At 38.3% G+C, this 13,532-nt stretch overlaps 1 protein-coding gene across 12 annotated transcripts in view; it reads right to left on the bottom strand.

Moving 5' to 3' along the window:
• Positions 1-13,532, bottom strand: part of MLIP (muscular LMNA interacting protein) — a 247,311-nt gene that overhangs the window by 177,979 nt on the left and 55,800 nt on the right. For 2 of the 12 annotated variants that reach the window (XM_047419511.1, XM_017011470.2), the window contains exon 1: positions 4,686-4,909. The exons of the other annotated variants lie outside the window; for them this stretch is intronic. In XM_047419511.1, the coding sequence (XP_047275467.1) occupies positions 4,686-4,718 (33 nt within the window). In that variant the 5' untranslated portion in view covers positions 4,719-4,909. Of the gene's footprint in view, positions 1-4,685; positions 4,910-13,532 lie in introns of those variants that run through there. 12 annotated transcript variants of the gene reach the window in all.

The raw sequence follows: 13,532 nt of genomic DNA, 5'->3' as shown, positions 1-13,532 counted from the left end.
CATTGGTGCTCCCACTTAGGCCAGACCCTCACTTCTTCCTACCCTGAACCTCCAGCATCTGACTTTTGACATATTCAGGAAGTTTGAGGCCTCAGAGACCTAAGCATAAGTTTCTCTCTTTTCCTTGGCTTGTTCTTCAGAAAAGACAAACTATTTTACTTCAATTCTGAAACCACCTTGCATAAACTAAATGTGTCAAGTTTGGAAAACACATAAGCATAAGAATATGCAAATTTCCTTTTGGGAACAAGAGCTAACTTGAAAATGATACCATGGCCGTTTCTGAAGACTCCAAAAGGAAGCTGTTTAGCTCAGTAACTTGCACTAAATCATGAGTAGGTTCAGCCTGCCCAGGTGTTCTCCCTCTGGACACATTCCCCAGGTAGAGCTTTAGGCTCTTCAGAAAGCCTGATCGCTGCCTGGCAGATGGATCTTCTGGCAAAGAGCAAGAATCTCAAACAGTGGAGGAGTTAAAAAAAAAAAAAGAGTATCTTTCCCATAAGCATCTTAAAGTATTTTGTTTTTTAAAATTTTTCTTAAACAGTTCAGTAAATGGCAGCATCACCCAAGCAAAATCTACTTTATTTTATTTAGACAAAGTAATGTTCTCACAACCCATGCAGGTCCACAGCTTGGATCCTCTTCCTTCTCATGGCCCCTCACACATGTGAGGGCAGTGGCCCCCAGAGGAAGGAGAAGGCATGCAAGTAAGGAGTCACCAAGCTTTCAAAGATAGCCTGACTTACTGGAAATGTGTTGGCCCCTCTATTAGATTCATTCCTCTTTGCCACTATTTTTTATCCCTGATTTCTGTGGGTTTTTTTATGTTTCTTTTTTGCATCAAATAACATTTCTTTTTCTTGAAACACTTTCCCTCTACGAAACCACCCACTTCAATTTAGTCATTGAGTCATCAGAATGGACTCATTAATAGATAAAGACAAACAATCTGAATCCAAGGCTATTTGCTATAAATGTGAAACTTCCACCTCTTCAGCAGTTTACATACCTAAGGCAGATATTGTAACACCTCCTTGCCCTCTACGCTCATAGTCACAGAAGAGGCACAGCTATAGGTTGTTGTTTTGGCTTTGATGCCATATTAGAATAGACTTCCAGAAACCATTCCCTACTTCCATATATCATAATATTCATTTACTCATCGTTTGTTCAAAAAATCTTGACTGAGCACTGGCTAGGTGCCAGGTGTTATCCTAGATCCTGGGGATACAACAGTGAGCTGAACACAAAAAAATCCCTGCCCTCATGTAACCTCTATTTTAGAAGAGAGAGATAGATGATAAATAAAATAAGTTACATAATATCTTAGAATATTGTGGTCGTGCTGAGAAGGAACTAAGCATGGAAGATATGTACAGGGAGTAGCAGAAGATGGAGGTGAGAGCACAATAGATTTCAATAGGTTGGACAGAGAAGGCTTCCTTGGAGGTGACTTTTAAGAAGAAGATTTAAGGAAGTGAAGAAATAAATTATGCAGATATCTAGGTGAAAATACTCCAAGAAGAGAGAACAGCAAAAGCCAAGAACCAAAGGTAGGAGGCTATCTGACATCCCTGAAGAACAGAGGCTGGTGTGGCTGGAGAAAATGACCCTGGGGAAGAGCCAGAAGGGATGTGGCAAGATTCTTAAGAAGGGGCCAGATTGCTAGGGCCTTGTCAGCCACTATAACGGACTTTGGCTTTTATTCTGAGTGAGATGAGAAACTATTGAAATATTCACAGCAAAGTGGTGACATGATCTCACTCTCCAGTAGCAATGAGCATATTAAGCACCCAAATCTTGGTTTCTTTATGCTATATTCCCCTAAAATGAAGGAGGTTTCCTTGCAGAAATGGCTGATTCCAAATTTCAGTCAAGAAAAGCACAAAGTAATACTAAAAATTAAACATACACACATAAATAGGTGGGGTAAGAAGAGAAAGAACCACTGTTCAATTGTGGACACCTTAGGTGGGAGGGGTCTTTTAGACATTCAAGTAAATATGCTGAGTATGGAGTTAGATATATGAGCCTAGAATTTAAACATAGAGTCACATCTGGAGATGTAAATGTGGAAGTTATAAAGATATAGAGAGCATGTACAACCTTGAGATTGAATCGTATTACCTAGCCAAGGAGTAAATGTAGATAAAGAACCAATGAACACACATGCAGAGGTGGTAAATGTGAGGAGGATGAAGACTGAAAAATATGGAGTATTTATAGAAAATAACCAATAGTTCAGTTATTCCAGGACATACGACACATAAATCTGAGCAGTGGAAATTCAGGCTGTCATGGCAGGTCTGGGAGAGAATACAAAGGGCCTGGAATGCAGCCTAAGAAATTTCTTCTTCAGAATTCAGAAGAAGTGAGAGCAGCAGATGTAGACTCAGCAGTCATCAACATAAAGCAAGCTGGAACTTCATAGCCTGATGAGACTGCTCTGGGAAAATAAATAAATGAAGGCCTTGAGATGAGGCTAGAACTCTGGTAACCCTGGAACTATTCATGTAGGAAAATGAGCGTGAATAGATGCTTGTGTGAGTCAGCCACTGGTAGGCAGCTCTTCACACAGTGACCTTTTCAAAGGAATGGATCTGTGCTTGGCAAGTTGAAGGCTTCTAACAGGACACTGCAGCTGGGTTTGTAAAACTGTTCAGGCTCACTCTGCTGGGCTTCCACCCTTTAATCTCACTGATTCGTTTTGTTTACTTGTAGCCTAGCTACAAATGAGAAATATGATCTCTTCAAATATCCCCCCAAGAATTCTGACATGACCAGAGATGATGAAGACAATCATGATATCATGATAAACACAAAGTTTACTGTGTGCCAGACATTTATTAAGTACTTTCTCATGGAATCCTCACAAAAACTTTTGAAATAGGTACGACTATAATCCCTATTAATAAGTGGGAATTCTGATGCTTAAAAATGGTTCACTAACCTCCCCCAAGGTCATACAGCAAGCAATAGCTGTAGCACTCAGGCACAGGTCTTTCTGACTCCATAGCACTGCAGTCTTAACTATTGTCACACAATGTTTCTCAATGCCTCTCAGAGGTGCCACTTGGAACCACAGCCAGTTAGAAATGGTGGGGCTGGTGTCAGGAGAGAGGAGAAGGATGAAGTTGTAACTGTCACTTAGCCTGGCCTTGTGCCTCAGTTATCCATTTAAGGAACTCTCAGTTGAAGCCCATGACTTGCTAAAGATGAAAAGCCTGTCGTGGATGCAATTCCTAGTGAAAAACTACCTGCAGGGTGAACACAGTAGATTTCAAATCTGGTCTATCTATGCTTCAAGAAATGTCTTCAAGAAGTGGAGGTTTGCTACAAAATTGGAACACATTCCTAGAGTAACACCTGGAATCATCTCAAAAGGCCTTCAAGTCTCGACATATACAACTTTTAGACAGAAAGTAAATGAAGCGAAGAAGATTTTGCAGAAATTCACAATGGCCAAATTTTTGAAGCTTTTATCCACCATCCATTTGCTCCCGTGACTCTTAGATTAAAATGCCTTTACAATAACAGGGATATATTGGGAACAGTTAAAGCTGTGCTACCCTGGGGCAACAAGCTTAAAAAATGCAATGAAAATATACTAATCTTCCCTATTTGAGGAATTCAAAAAGAAAAAAATAATTCCTGAATTTGCAAAGAGTACTTTTTTCTCCTTGTTAACCCAAATTAAAAAGGTTCCCAGCTATTGTATATGTACACATATCCACCTGCTTGAGGTATAGAAAAGCAATTAAGTCACTCTGGAATGCATTCATGGTGGATTAAATAAATACCCTCTCCCTGTCTTATTTCACTGACATCTAGGTAATGTGACCCTGATTGCAAGAGCAATGCCTTGCAAATAAAAGTTGCAGGAACGTTCAGTACCCATTTATTATTCCATCATCGTAGGCTTGACACACCCAGCAGTAAATGTGATCATGTTCAGCACCATAAACAAAATTGTTATCTTCAATTACTACTGTGGATAATTCATAGTTTCCAGGGACACTACTGGAAAAAAAATAAGTAATGAACCTTCACATGTGGAATCCTAAGCTTCAACTAAAGAGTGTACAAATACTGGGATGCCAGGTTAGGAAAGAGAGAAGGGAGGGGTGATAGGGGGAGCAAAAAAGTTCAAGGAAGGACAAAGAGGAAAAAGTAGAACTGTGGCTTCTGTAATTCATAGTCACAAAGCATAACTGAGACTATGTTAAGAAATTAGAATTACATGTTGAAACCTATTTCAAGATCAAATCATTAAAATCATGATACATTTTTACATTCCCAAGTTTGTTCTACTTAAAATTATTTTTAAATTAAAAAATATATAATCTCAAATTTAGTCCTAAAAAGTAGCAGCTTAAATGCAAAGCAATTTTTCAGATTCATGATACTCATTCCTACCAACAATTTACCTAAATTATTTCCCATTATATAAAGTTATAGTAAAATCAACTTTTCCTGGAGCAATTCTAAAGTTGAGCATGCTAATTAGTCCACAGCTAATTTAACATCTGTTGTCTGATACCATTATAAACAGCCATGCCACCTAAAACATAACTACTGCAATACGAAATAAGAAATACAAAGACAGTACACAGCTATCATTGATGTTAAATGTATAACAGGGTGACAGTATCAAGGAATTGTACTAATAATGTCATAGAACTCACAGAACATTCAAATCCAAGGTACCAGCTGCACATGGAATCCGGTGCCACGTGTCAAACTAGCAGATGTCAAGAAAGCAGTGGTTGTAACGGCAAGGTCAGTGTCAGCCAATAGAACTCATTGACAAACACTTGCCTGTGTCAGCTGCTGATATTGATGAGCTGCAAAGATGACAAAGCACTGTACAAATTATGCCCTCCTTCCTCCCTGCTTCCCCAACAACTCTGGACTGGAAATAGCAATGCATCTGTTATTTCAATCCCATCTGAATATATTAACCTATCTTGACCTTAGCAGTGTTCTAAGAGAAACTCTTTGCCTGGAAATTGAGGGAAGCTCTATTTTAAAAGTTAAAAAAGGACCTAATCTGACTTGGCTACAAAAACTATGTCACATTTAATATGTATATTAGTATATATTAATATATGTATATATTACATGACTTAGGGTTGACAGAAATGCCTTCAAATAGAAAGCCTTAAGTAAGAAACTCAACCTTACAATAGCTTCTACATTAAATTAACTGGTACTCTCAAATTAATTCAGACAGTTTTGGTGGATATGCCAGGAACTGAAGAAATAAAAATGAAAAATTCTATTTCTGTTCTCACTTATAATCTTATGAGAAAAACAGATAGACAAATACAAAACATTACACATGAGTTAACTGCTTCTAGAGAGTTATGAAAAATACTACAGTATTCTATAGCTGGGGAGAATATATTTGCAGTAATAAAATCAAGAAAGGATTTGCAAGTCAAAGTATATTAAGTGCTCTATAATTCAGTTTTTTTAAATAAAATAATTTGCAAATTATATGAGGAGGAAATTCACAGAAATACAAATGACCAAAAAAAAAATGAAAGATATTCAATCTTACTAGTAATCAGGAAAATGCAAATCAAAATCATAATGAAATATGATTTTCTACCCACCAAATTGGCAATACCAAATGCTAGTGAGAATGTGGAGCAACAGGTCCCATATTGCTAAAGGGAGAATAAATTGGTAAATCTACTTTGGAGAGAAACTTGTCAATATTCCAAAAAAGGTGAATATGGATACATCGTCTGATTTGGTTTTACTGTGTCCCCACCCAAATCTCATCTCTGAATTGTAATCCGAATTGTAATCCCCAAGTGTTAGGGGAGGGACCTGGTGGGAGGTGATTGGATCATGGGAGTGGTTTCACCCATGCTGTTCTTACAATAGTGAGTGAGTTCTCACAAGATCTGATGGTTTTATACATGTTCGGCAGTTCCTCCAAACTGGCCAAACTCCTGCACCTAGCCCAAGAAATCGTGTACATGAATATTTTATTGATGTTTTTCATGAGAAGAAATAGGAAAATAAGAAAATTATCTAAATGCCCATCAACAGAGGAATAGATAAATAAATATAATATATTCATTCCATGAAATAGTACAAAGAAATAAATTACCTAGAATTATATGTATTAACATACCTGCATCTCAGAAACATTCTAAAAATAATCAAATTACAAAAGAATAACTACCATGTTATCATATGAGTAATGTTTCAAGAAATGCAGAAGCAACTATATATAAATTTATATATAGTTATAATGAGAATTAGAAACACTAAATCTAGCATAGTAAACACTAGGCAAAGTTGGGGAGAATGAGACAGGGAGAGCTACACAAGAAGTTTCAATTAATATTGAAAATTCATTATTTGTCTTGGTCATATGTCTGAAATATTTTTAAAAACAAATAAGCTGAAAAATGTGACAGAAGCACAGGTAAAAGAACAAACAGTCCTACTTAAAGATAAAGAACAATGAAAGTAAAATTAATAAAATGAAGGTGAGTAATCATGGGTATCCAAAAGTCTGCTGGGGCGAGGTCAGTGTCTTAACATTTTCTCATAAAAACATATGGACCCTGGCCGGGCGCGGTGCCTCACGTCTGTAATCCCAGCACTTTGGGAGGCCGGGGCGGGTGGATCACCTGAGGTCAGGAGTTTAAGACCAGCCCGGCCAACATGGTGAAACCGTATCTCAACTAAAAATACAAAAAAAATTTAGCTGGGCATGGTGGCGGGCGCCTGTAATCCCAGCTACTTCGGGAGGCTGAGGCAGGAGAATCGCTTGAACCTGGGAGGCGGAGGTTGCAGTGAGCGGAGATCGCGCCATTGCACTCCAGCCTGGGCGACATAAACGAAACTCTGTCTCAAATAACAAAAACAAACAAACAAAAAAAAAATATGTGGACCCCAACATTGATTGATAGGTTCCACTGCTTTTCTCCTCATTTTCTTGCACTGAAACTCCTAACTGAACCCAGTTGCTAGTACCAAATATTCTATGTAATTTGCACAAGAATTGAAGGCCCCCTCTTCACCGCCACCATGGAGACCTGCGGGTATTTTAGGGTTGTGAAGGTAACACCTCCCCAAGGATGGTGCGAGGAAGTTCCCAGAGAGACTAGTGAATAAACAAGAGGGGTGCAGAATGAGGCATCAGTGTCAGAGGGTACTGGGGAGATGAGAAGGTGAGAAAGCTGATCTGAAAAATACAACAATAAAATAAAACAGCCCTTGGCTTGAGTCTTGAAGGGCACTTAGGCAGAATCATAAAATCATGAATCTTAGAGCTGAAATACAGTTCATGAAAAAAATTCTGTGAGGTCAGGGTGAGGATGGTGAGGGGAAGGGGACATGAAAGAGGAGAATAAATCTTTCACCCACAGAGATGAGGGGTGATGAAGATATTCTTGCCCAAGAATTTGTCTGGCTCAAGTTAAAAAAAAAACTATACTTTAAAAGTTTCCTCTAGCCCTTTGGGTACTTGGCTTTTATATATATGTATATACATATGTAGACACAGATATATAATATTTATATAGTGTATTTTATAGATTAAATATTAAATATATATATTATATAAATTACTTATATTAAATTTATGTATTTTATAGAAAGAAATTTGCATATGTAACAATTTATATATAAAAATATGTTTTCTCAGACAAAAAATGTGTATGTCTTTTTATCACATGGGTATAGTTATATGCAAATGCAAAACTATCGCTGTATAATATTGAATATGATCATTTACAATTATTTTTTGAAGCTTAGTCCATTGATATTAAATAGAAAGTGAAATGATTGTAAAAATAAGGACATGCACATTCAAAAAGCTTTTTACAGTATAAAATTAATGAGGTCTGATCAGTTGTCAACCTCATTTTCTGTGATGGGAGAGGTTTAGGGGTTCCTAAAACTGGGGTGGGGGGTGAAGATGGAGTCTATATGTTTATATAAACATATAATTTTTTTGTTTGAGAAAGTCTGAGACTCCTGGGAAAGTCCAGCATGGCAGAGGGGGTTAAACAAGGTGTCTACAGCTCTGAATAATACAGTAAGGTACATTTGCAGGTTTCGAGTCCAGAGGAGGTAAGGGAAGCAAAGGCGACCATGAAAGAGTTTGTCAGGACTGTTGAATGAAGAGAGGAGGGACCCAGTGGAAAAGTTCTGGGGAAGGAGTATTAGGTTTGGTAAATTACAGCATGGAAAGTGGCCAGAGCTCAGGTGAAAAAGCCCCACTGCTGGTGATGCCAGAGGAACTTCTAAGAACAGGATGCCTGGCATTCTATACTCAGTTCCTTCCCATCCCGTGCTATGCTGCAGTCCACCTCCACTAACTTTCTAACCTCCAGTAAACGTCAACTCTGTAGGACAGTTTTGTGGAGCGGTAGTTGGAGGAAGGCAGTAAGAGGGACAACTGATACTATGAGATTAGATAACATAAAAGAGGAGGCAGGACAAATACAGGGATGATGGAGGATCCAATAAAGGAGGAATGGGGAGCAAGAGGTGAAACCAAGCTGAGGATACTATTGCTTTTGGTGAATCTTTTTAAATATTCTAGGAGCCATGGACTCCCACAATATGGTGGGGGGAAAGGAATCAAGCTCATTTATCTGGAAATTAAAGGTAAAGATGACATTTCAGAGGTAAAGTGATTTAGAATATTCAAGACATCTGATGTGCCCTACTTATATATGTGAAAGACTGGACCAATAAACAGCAGAATGTTTACAGTGGTTTGCTCTGGATAATGAAAGTATGAGTAAGTATTAGCATCTTTGTTTCTTTTATAATTTCCAAATAACACACTATAAAACCCAGAATGACACAATAAAAGCAAATTCATTATTAAAATAGAGAATGAGCTCAAGTCATCATTTTAAATGTTTCCCACCCATCATAAATTAAGAAAACATACCCCTACAGCAACAGTATCCTTCCCATGCTTGCATTAGAGGTGCTTTACCTGCTTAAGCCAAATCTCACCCAGCTAGTAACATGGCATAGGAGTAGATACTCTACCTAAACAGATTCACCCATGAGGATTGTCTAACTAGAGGCACTTGCATTTTTAAATTTTAGTCATACCTGATAGAAAATATAGTATCTAGTGAAAACTCCATTTCCTAGATCCTGCTTCAGTATATTAGGATGCCTCATTCAAGTTTAATTTCAGAAAAACACCAAATAAGTTTTTAGTGTAATTATGTCCCTTCAAATATTTAGGATATTTATTTAGTATAGATATGTCCCAAATATTTTGTGCAACATTCTTAACACTAGAAAATTATTTCTTGGGCCGGGCGCGGTGGTTCATGCCTGTAATCCCAGCACTTTGGGAGGCCAAGGCCGGCAGATCACCTGAGGTCAGGAGTTTGAGACCAGCCTGGCCAACGTGGTGAAACCCCATCTCTACTAAAATGCAAAAATTAGCTGCATGTGGTGGCAGGCGCCTATAATCCCATCTATTTGGGAGGCTGAGGTAGGAGAATTGCTTGAACCCAGGAGACAGAGGTTGCAGTGAGCTGAGATCATGCCACTGCACTCCAGCCTGGGTGACAAGAGCCGAGACTCCATCTCAAAAAAAAAAAAAAAAGAAAGAAAGAAAAAGAAAATTATTTGTTGTATATCTGAAATTCAGATTTAGTCCATTGTGCCTCCTATATTTTTATTAGCTAAATCTGGCAATGATTTTTTCTTTTTAGAGACAGGGTCTCTCTCTGTTGCCCAGGCTGGAATGCAGTGGCACAATCATGGCTCACAGGCTCACAGCAGCCTCAGGCTGAAGCAGTCTGCTCACCTCAACCTCTCGAGTAGCTGGGACCGCAGTTGTGCACAACCATGCCTGGCTAATTTTTTGTAGAGACAGGGTTTCACTACATTGCCCAGGCTGGTCTTGAGCTCTTGGGCTCAAGCGATCTTGCCTGCCTCAGCCTCCCAAAGTGCGGGGATTACAAGCATGAGCCACCATGCCTAGCTGCTGACATTACTCTATGCCTATGTTTCTAAACTCTTAACGAGTGCTAGAGAACTGCTTAAGTTATTACTGCCTGTGTGATATTTTATAAATGTAAAATTTTAGGTAGAAATTAAAGAAAACAAACTGATTACAAATCCATTTTCAAACACTGTTAACCTAATCGATGACAGTAAGAAGCAGTAGGTGAACCTCCTGCCCGTCAGGGGAGGTAAATTGGGCCAGTTGAAACATTTCCACCAAAATGACAGTAAGTCTTGTGGGCATACAACCTATCCAGGTCATCATTTCATTTTTCTGTCAAATTGCTGAGTGAAAATGAGAACAACCTGAACCATAGCAAAGTAGTATCTAGATATAGAAACTTGATTTTGACCGGCATGTAAAGCTATTTTCTCATCCACGAAAAAATGCTCCATAATCCTCAATAATAGTTTAAATAATTCAACTATATGTCTGGCAAGAAAACACATATCTTGAGCCATGTGTTTTGAAGATAAGTGCTCTTGACTGAGCTTTATCATCTGCTTCTTAAAGAATTTGCTTGCTTGCAAACTTTATAAGTGGTATGCCAAGACCAATCAATGCTTTAAGTTTATGCAGCTATCAGTCCCAGTACACACTGACACATGGCATCTGCCTCTTTTTTATGTTAATAAGATACAGAGTTTACAAATTCTACAGAGGGTTCAGTTAAAGCCCCTTGCTCTATTTAATTTTTTAAAGAAAACAGTGAGTTTGGTATGTTTTTCAAGCAAATTATCTTGAAACACGTATTAGATGTAATTATTAATAATAATTATGTGTAATTGTTTTGAATATTAAAGCTTTGAATGTAGTCTGTTTTTCATAGATTTGCAAGTAATGGTCTAAATTAGAAGTCTGCAACTAAGATTCACAGACCAATGCTGGTCTGCCACCTATTTTTTTTTTTAATGAAGTTTTATTGGAAAACAGCCTTATCCTTCCATTTACCTGTTGTCTTTTGCTACAAAAGCAGGGTTGGGTAGTTGCAGCCAAGAAAACCTAAAATATTGACTATCTGACCCTTTACACAAAAGATTTGTCAACTTTGCTTTAAATAGACATTTACCAACAGTCAAGGGGACTGATTACTCCCCTGAGCTGGTTTGCATATTTTTAAGATAGTATGGCAGCCTTGATTATTTAGGTTTTGTATAGCAGAGAGATATAAAGTCTAAAACACTGCAAAACTAAAAATATCTGGCAAAGCAACAGGCAAAGTAAATTTGATGAAGCTGAGGTTCTCTCAGTATTTGTTCTAACACAAGACGTTCTCAGTGGATCATTCACCCTAGTCCTTTGCTCCTGGACTAGAGCAAGGAAATAGTTATCCAGTTGCTGTAAGAATCAGGTTAACGATCCAAATCCATTTTTATTTCTGTCTCTTTTTTTTTCTTTTTAAAACCAAAAATCCTTTAAAGTTCTGGCCTCTGGCAAATCTTACCCTCACCCCTAGAAAACATTGACCTAAATCAAGCCTAGAAACAATACCAACCCGTCCCCATGATCCGCTGATGTATGTTCACTGTGGGAATACAGGAGATGAATATTTTTGCTGTTTGGATAAAATTGTATTCAGGCTTTGATTTTGATGATGCCTCCAAAATGCTATGCAAAATTTATTCTTTGAAGCCTGGAAAAAGCCACCCAGAGGCAATTAGGCTACTCTCCCTGTCCAACAGGAAATCCTGCAAACAGTGGCTACAGACATGCCTCATTTTAGAAAATATGAGAATTATGTTGCATTTCCACTAATTAAACCCCACTTGCAATGCCCTACATGCACTTTCCTTCAGAAACAGGTCCAGTAGTCTTTCCAAATTATAGGTCCAGAGTCTTTTGCAATACAGTTGTGGAAGGAAGAGCAGTGAAGATACCAAATGAGACTCTGTGTAGACAGAGCCCAGAGACATCAGTCTGGTTTGAATTGGGTCTACATGTTGTCTACACATTGCCAATGTTTGCACAATCAGCATGACCTTTAGTTAGATGTATGCTTCTTTGGAGTGGCTTTGGGAAGGTTAATAGAGATTATGATAAAGGGCCTTAGGTTTCCTCATCCTGACCCACTCCTTGGCACATCTATTGATTTCGGCTCATGGGGAAGGAGAGGATTGGAAGTTGCAGAGACAGACAATTGTTTTTCCAGAGATTATTTGATCATTTCAGAGAAACATACCATACTGATGCTTACCAGAGCAATAGGCTTTAATAGGTTAAAAGCCAATGAAATAATTCACCCTAATATTGAACAACAGTGTTAATCCAATTTAACTCCTTCATGCTTTTTGTACCATTTGTCAAACATAAAAAGAAAATAAAATGGTTCCGTAATGATGAAACATACATATTCAATGCCCTCTATTAAGTGTAGCAAAACTTGAGTCACAACTGGAAGTCTTAGATTGGTTTTGAACTGACCTCTGAGGGTGTCACCTGGCAGATCAGAGAAGTTTTTTGGAGGCAGCAACTTTGGTGCTGGGAACCTAATCACCAGGAAAACTACCTTGGTGACCTGAGAGACCAGGAGCCCATATGGAATAAAAGAGGAAACTGCTCTTTGTGAGATATCTCTGAGCTGATATCTGGACTTGCATCCTGACTATAGACCCATAGAAATGTTAGTTAGAAAAAATAGCACTTTGACTTTTTTTTAAACATTTCCAGTCTGGAAGCATATATGACAGAATCTCCAAATAATGCAGTTACTAACAATAAGCACTAATATCTATGGAGTAAATGCCATGTGCTAGGCAACGTTGGTAAGGATTTTCAATATTTAACAGACTCATATATTAGCAACCTATTTATAACTACTGCATAATTAAAAGTTGCCTTGAAGAATTTGATCAAATTGGTAAAAGTTCTGATGAGGTTATTAAAATTCAACTAACCAATCACAAATCCACCTAGATACAGCAGAGAAAAGCAAGGACAAATAATCATAAATTACCTTGAATAAAAATTCAGTAAGAAGCACATAGGCATTTCCCTGATTATTATTCAGGGTTTTAGGATTTTTTTTTTTTTTTTTTTTTTGAGACGGAGTTTGGCTCTTGTTGCCTAGGCTGGAGTGCAATGGCCTGATCTTGGCTCACCACAATCTCTGCCTCCCCGGTTCAAGCGATTCTCCTGCCTCATCCTCCCGAGTAGCTGGGATTACAGGAATGTGCCACCACGCCATGCTAATTTTGTATTTTTAGTAGAGCTGGGGTTTCTCCATGTTGGTCAGGCTGGTCTTGAACTCCCGACCTCAAGTGATCCGCCCACCTCGGCCTCCCAAAGTGCTGGGATTACAGTGTGAACCACCGCGCCTGGCCAGGAATTTTTTTTCTCAAGCAAATGCAGCAGCTGTTCTTTTGCAAATGAAGAAGTTAGGAAATTAGCCAATTTAAGAATTTCTGTCCCTATCACTTCCTTTTATTGACTGCTTTCAGTGTACCAGGTGTTTCGCATCTAGTGTTTCTAATCCCTCACAGACATGCAGGCTCCATATTTTCCCCCATTTTAAAGGCAG

Source organism: Homo sapiens, chromosome 6, assembly GCF_000001405.40.
Source record: "Homo sapiens chromosome 6, GRCh38.p14 Primary Assembly".
NCBI classification, from domain to species: domain Eukaryota; kingdom Metazoa; phylum Chordata; class Mammalia; order Primates; family Hominidae; genus Homo; species Homo sapiens.
This window is presented reverse-complemented; position numbering and strand designations above follow the sequence as displayed.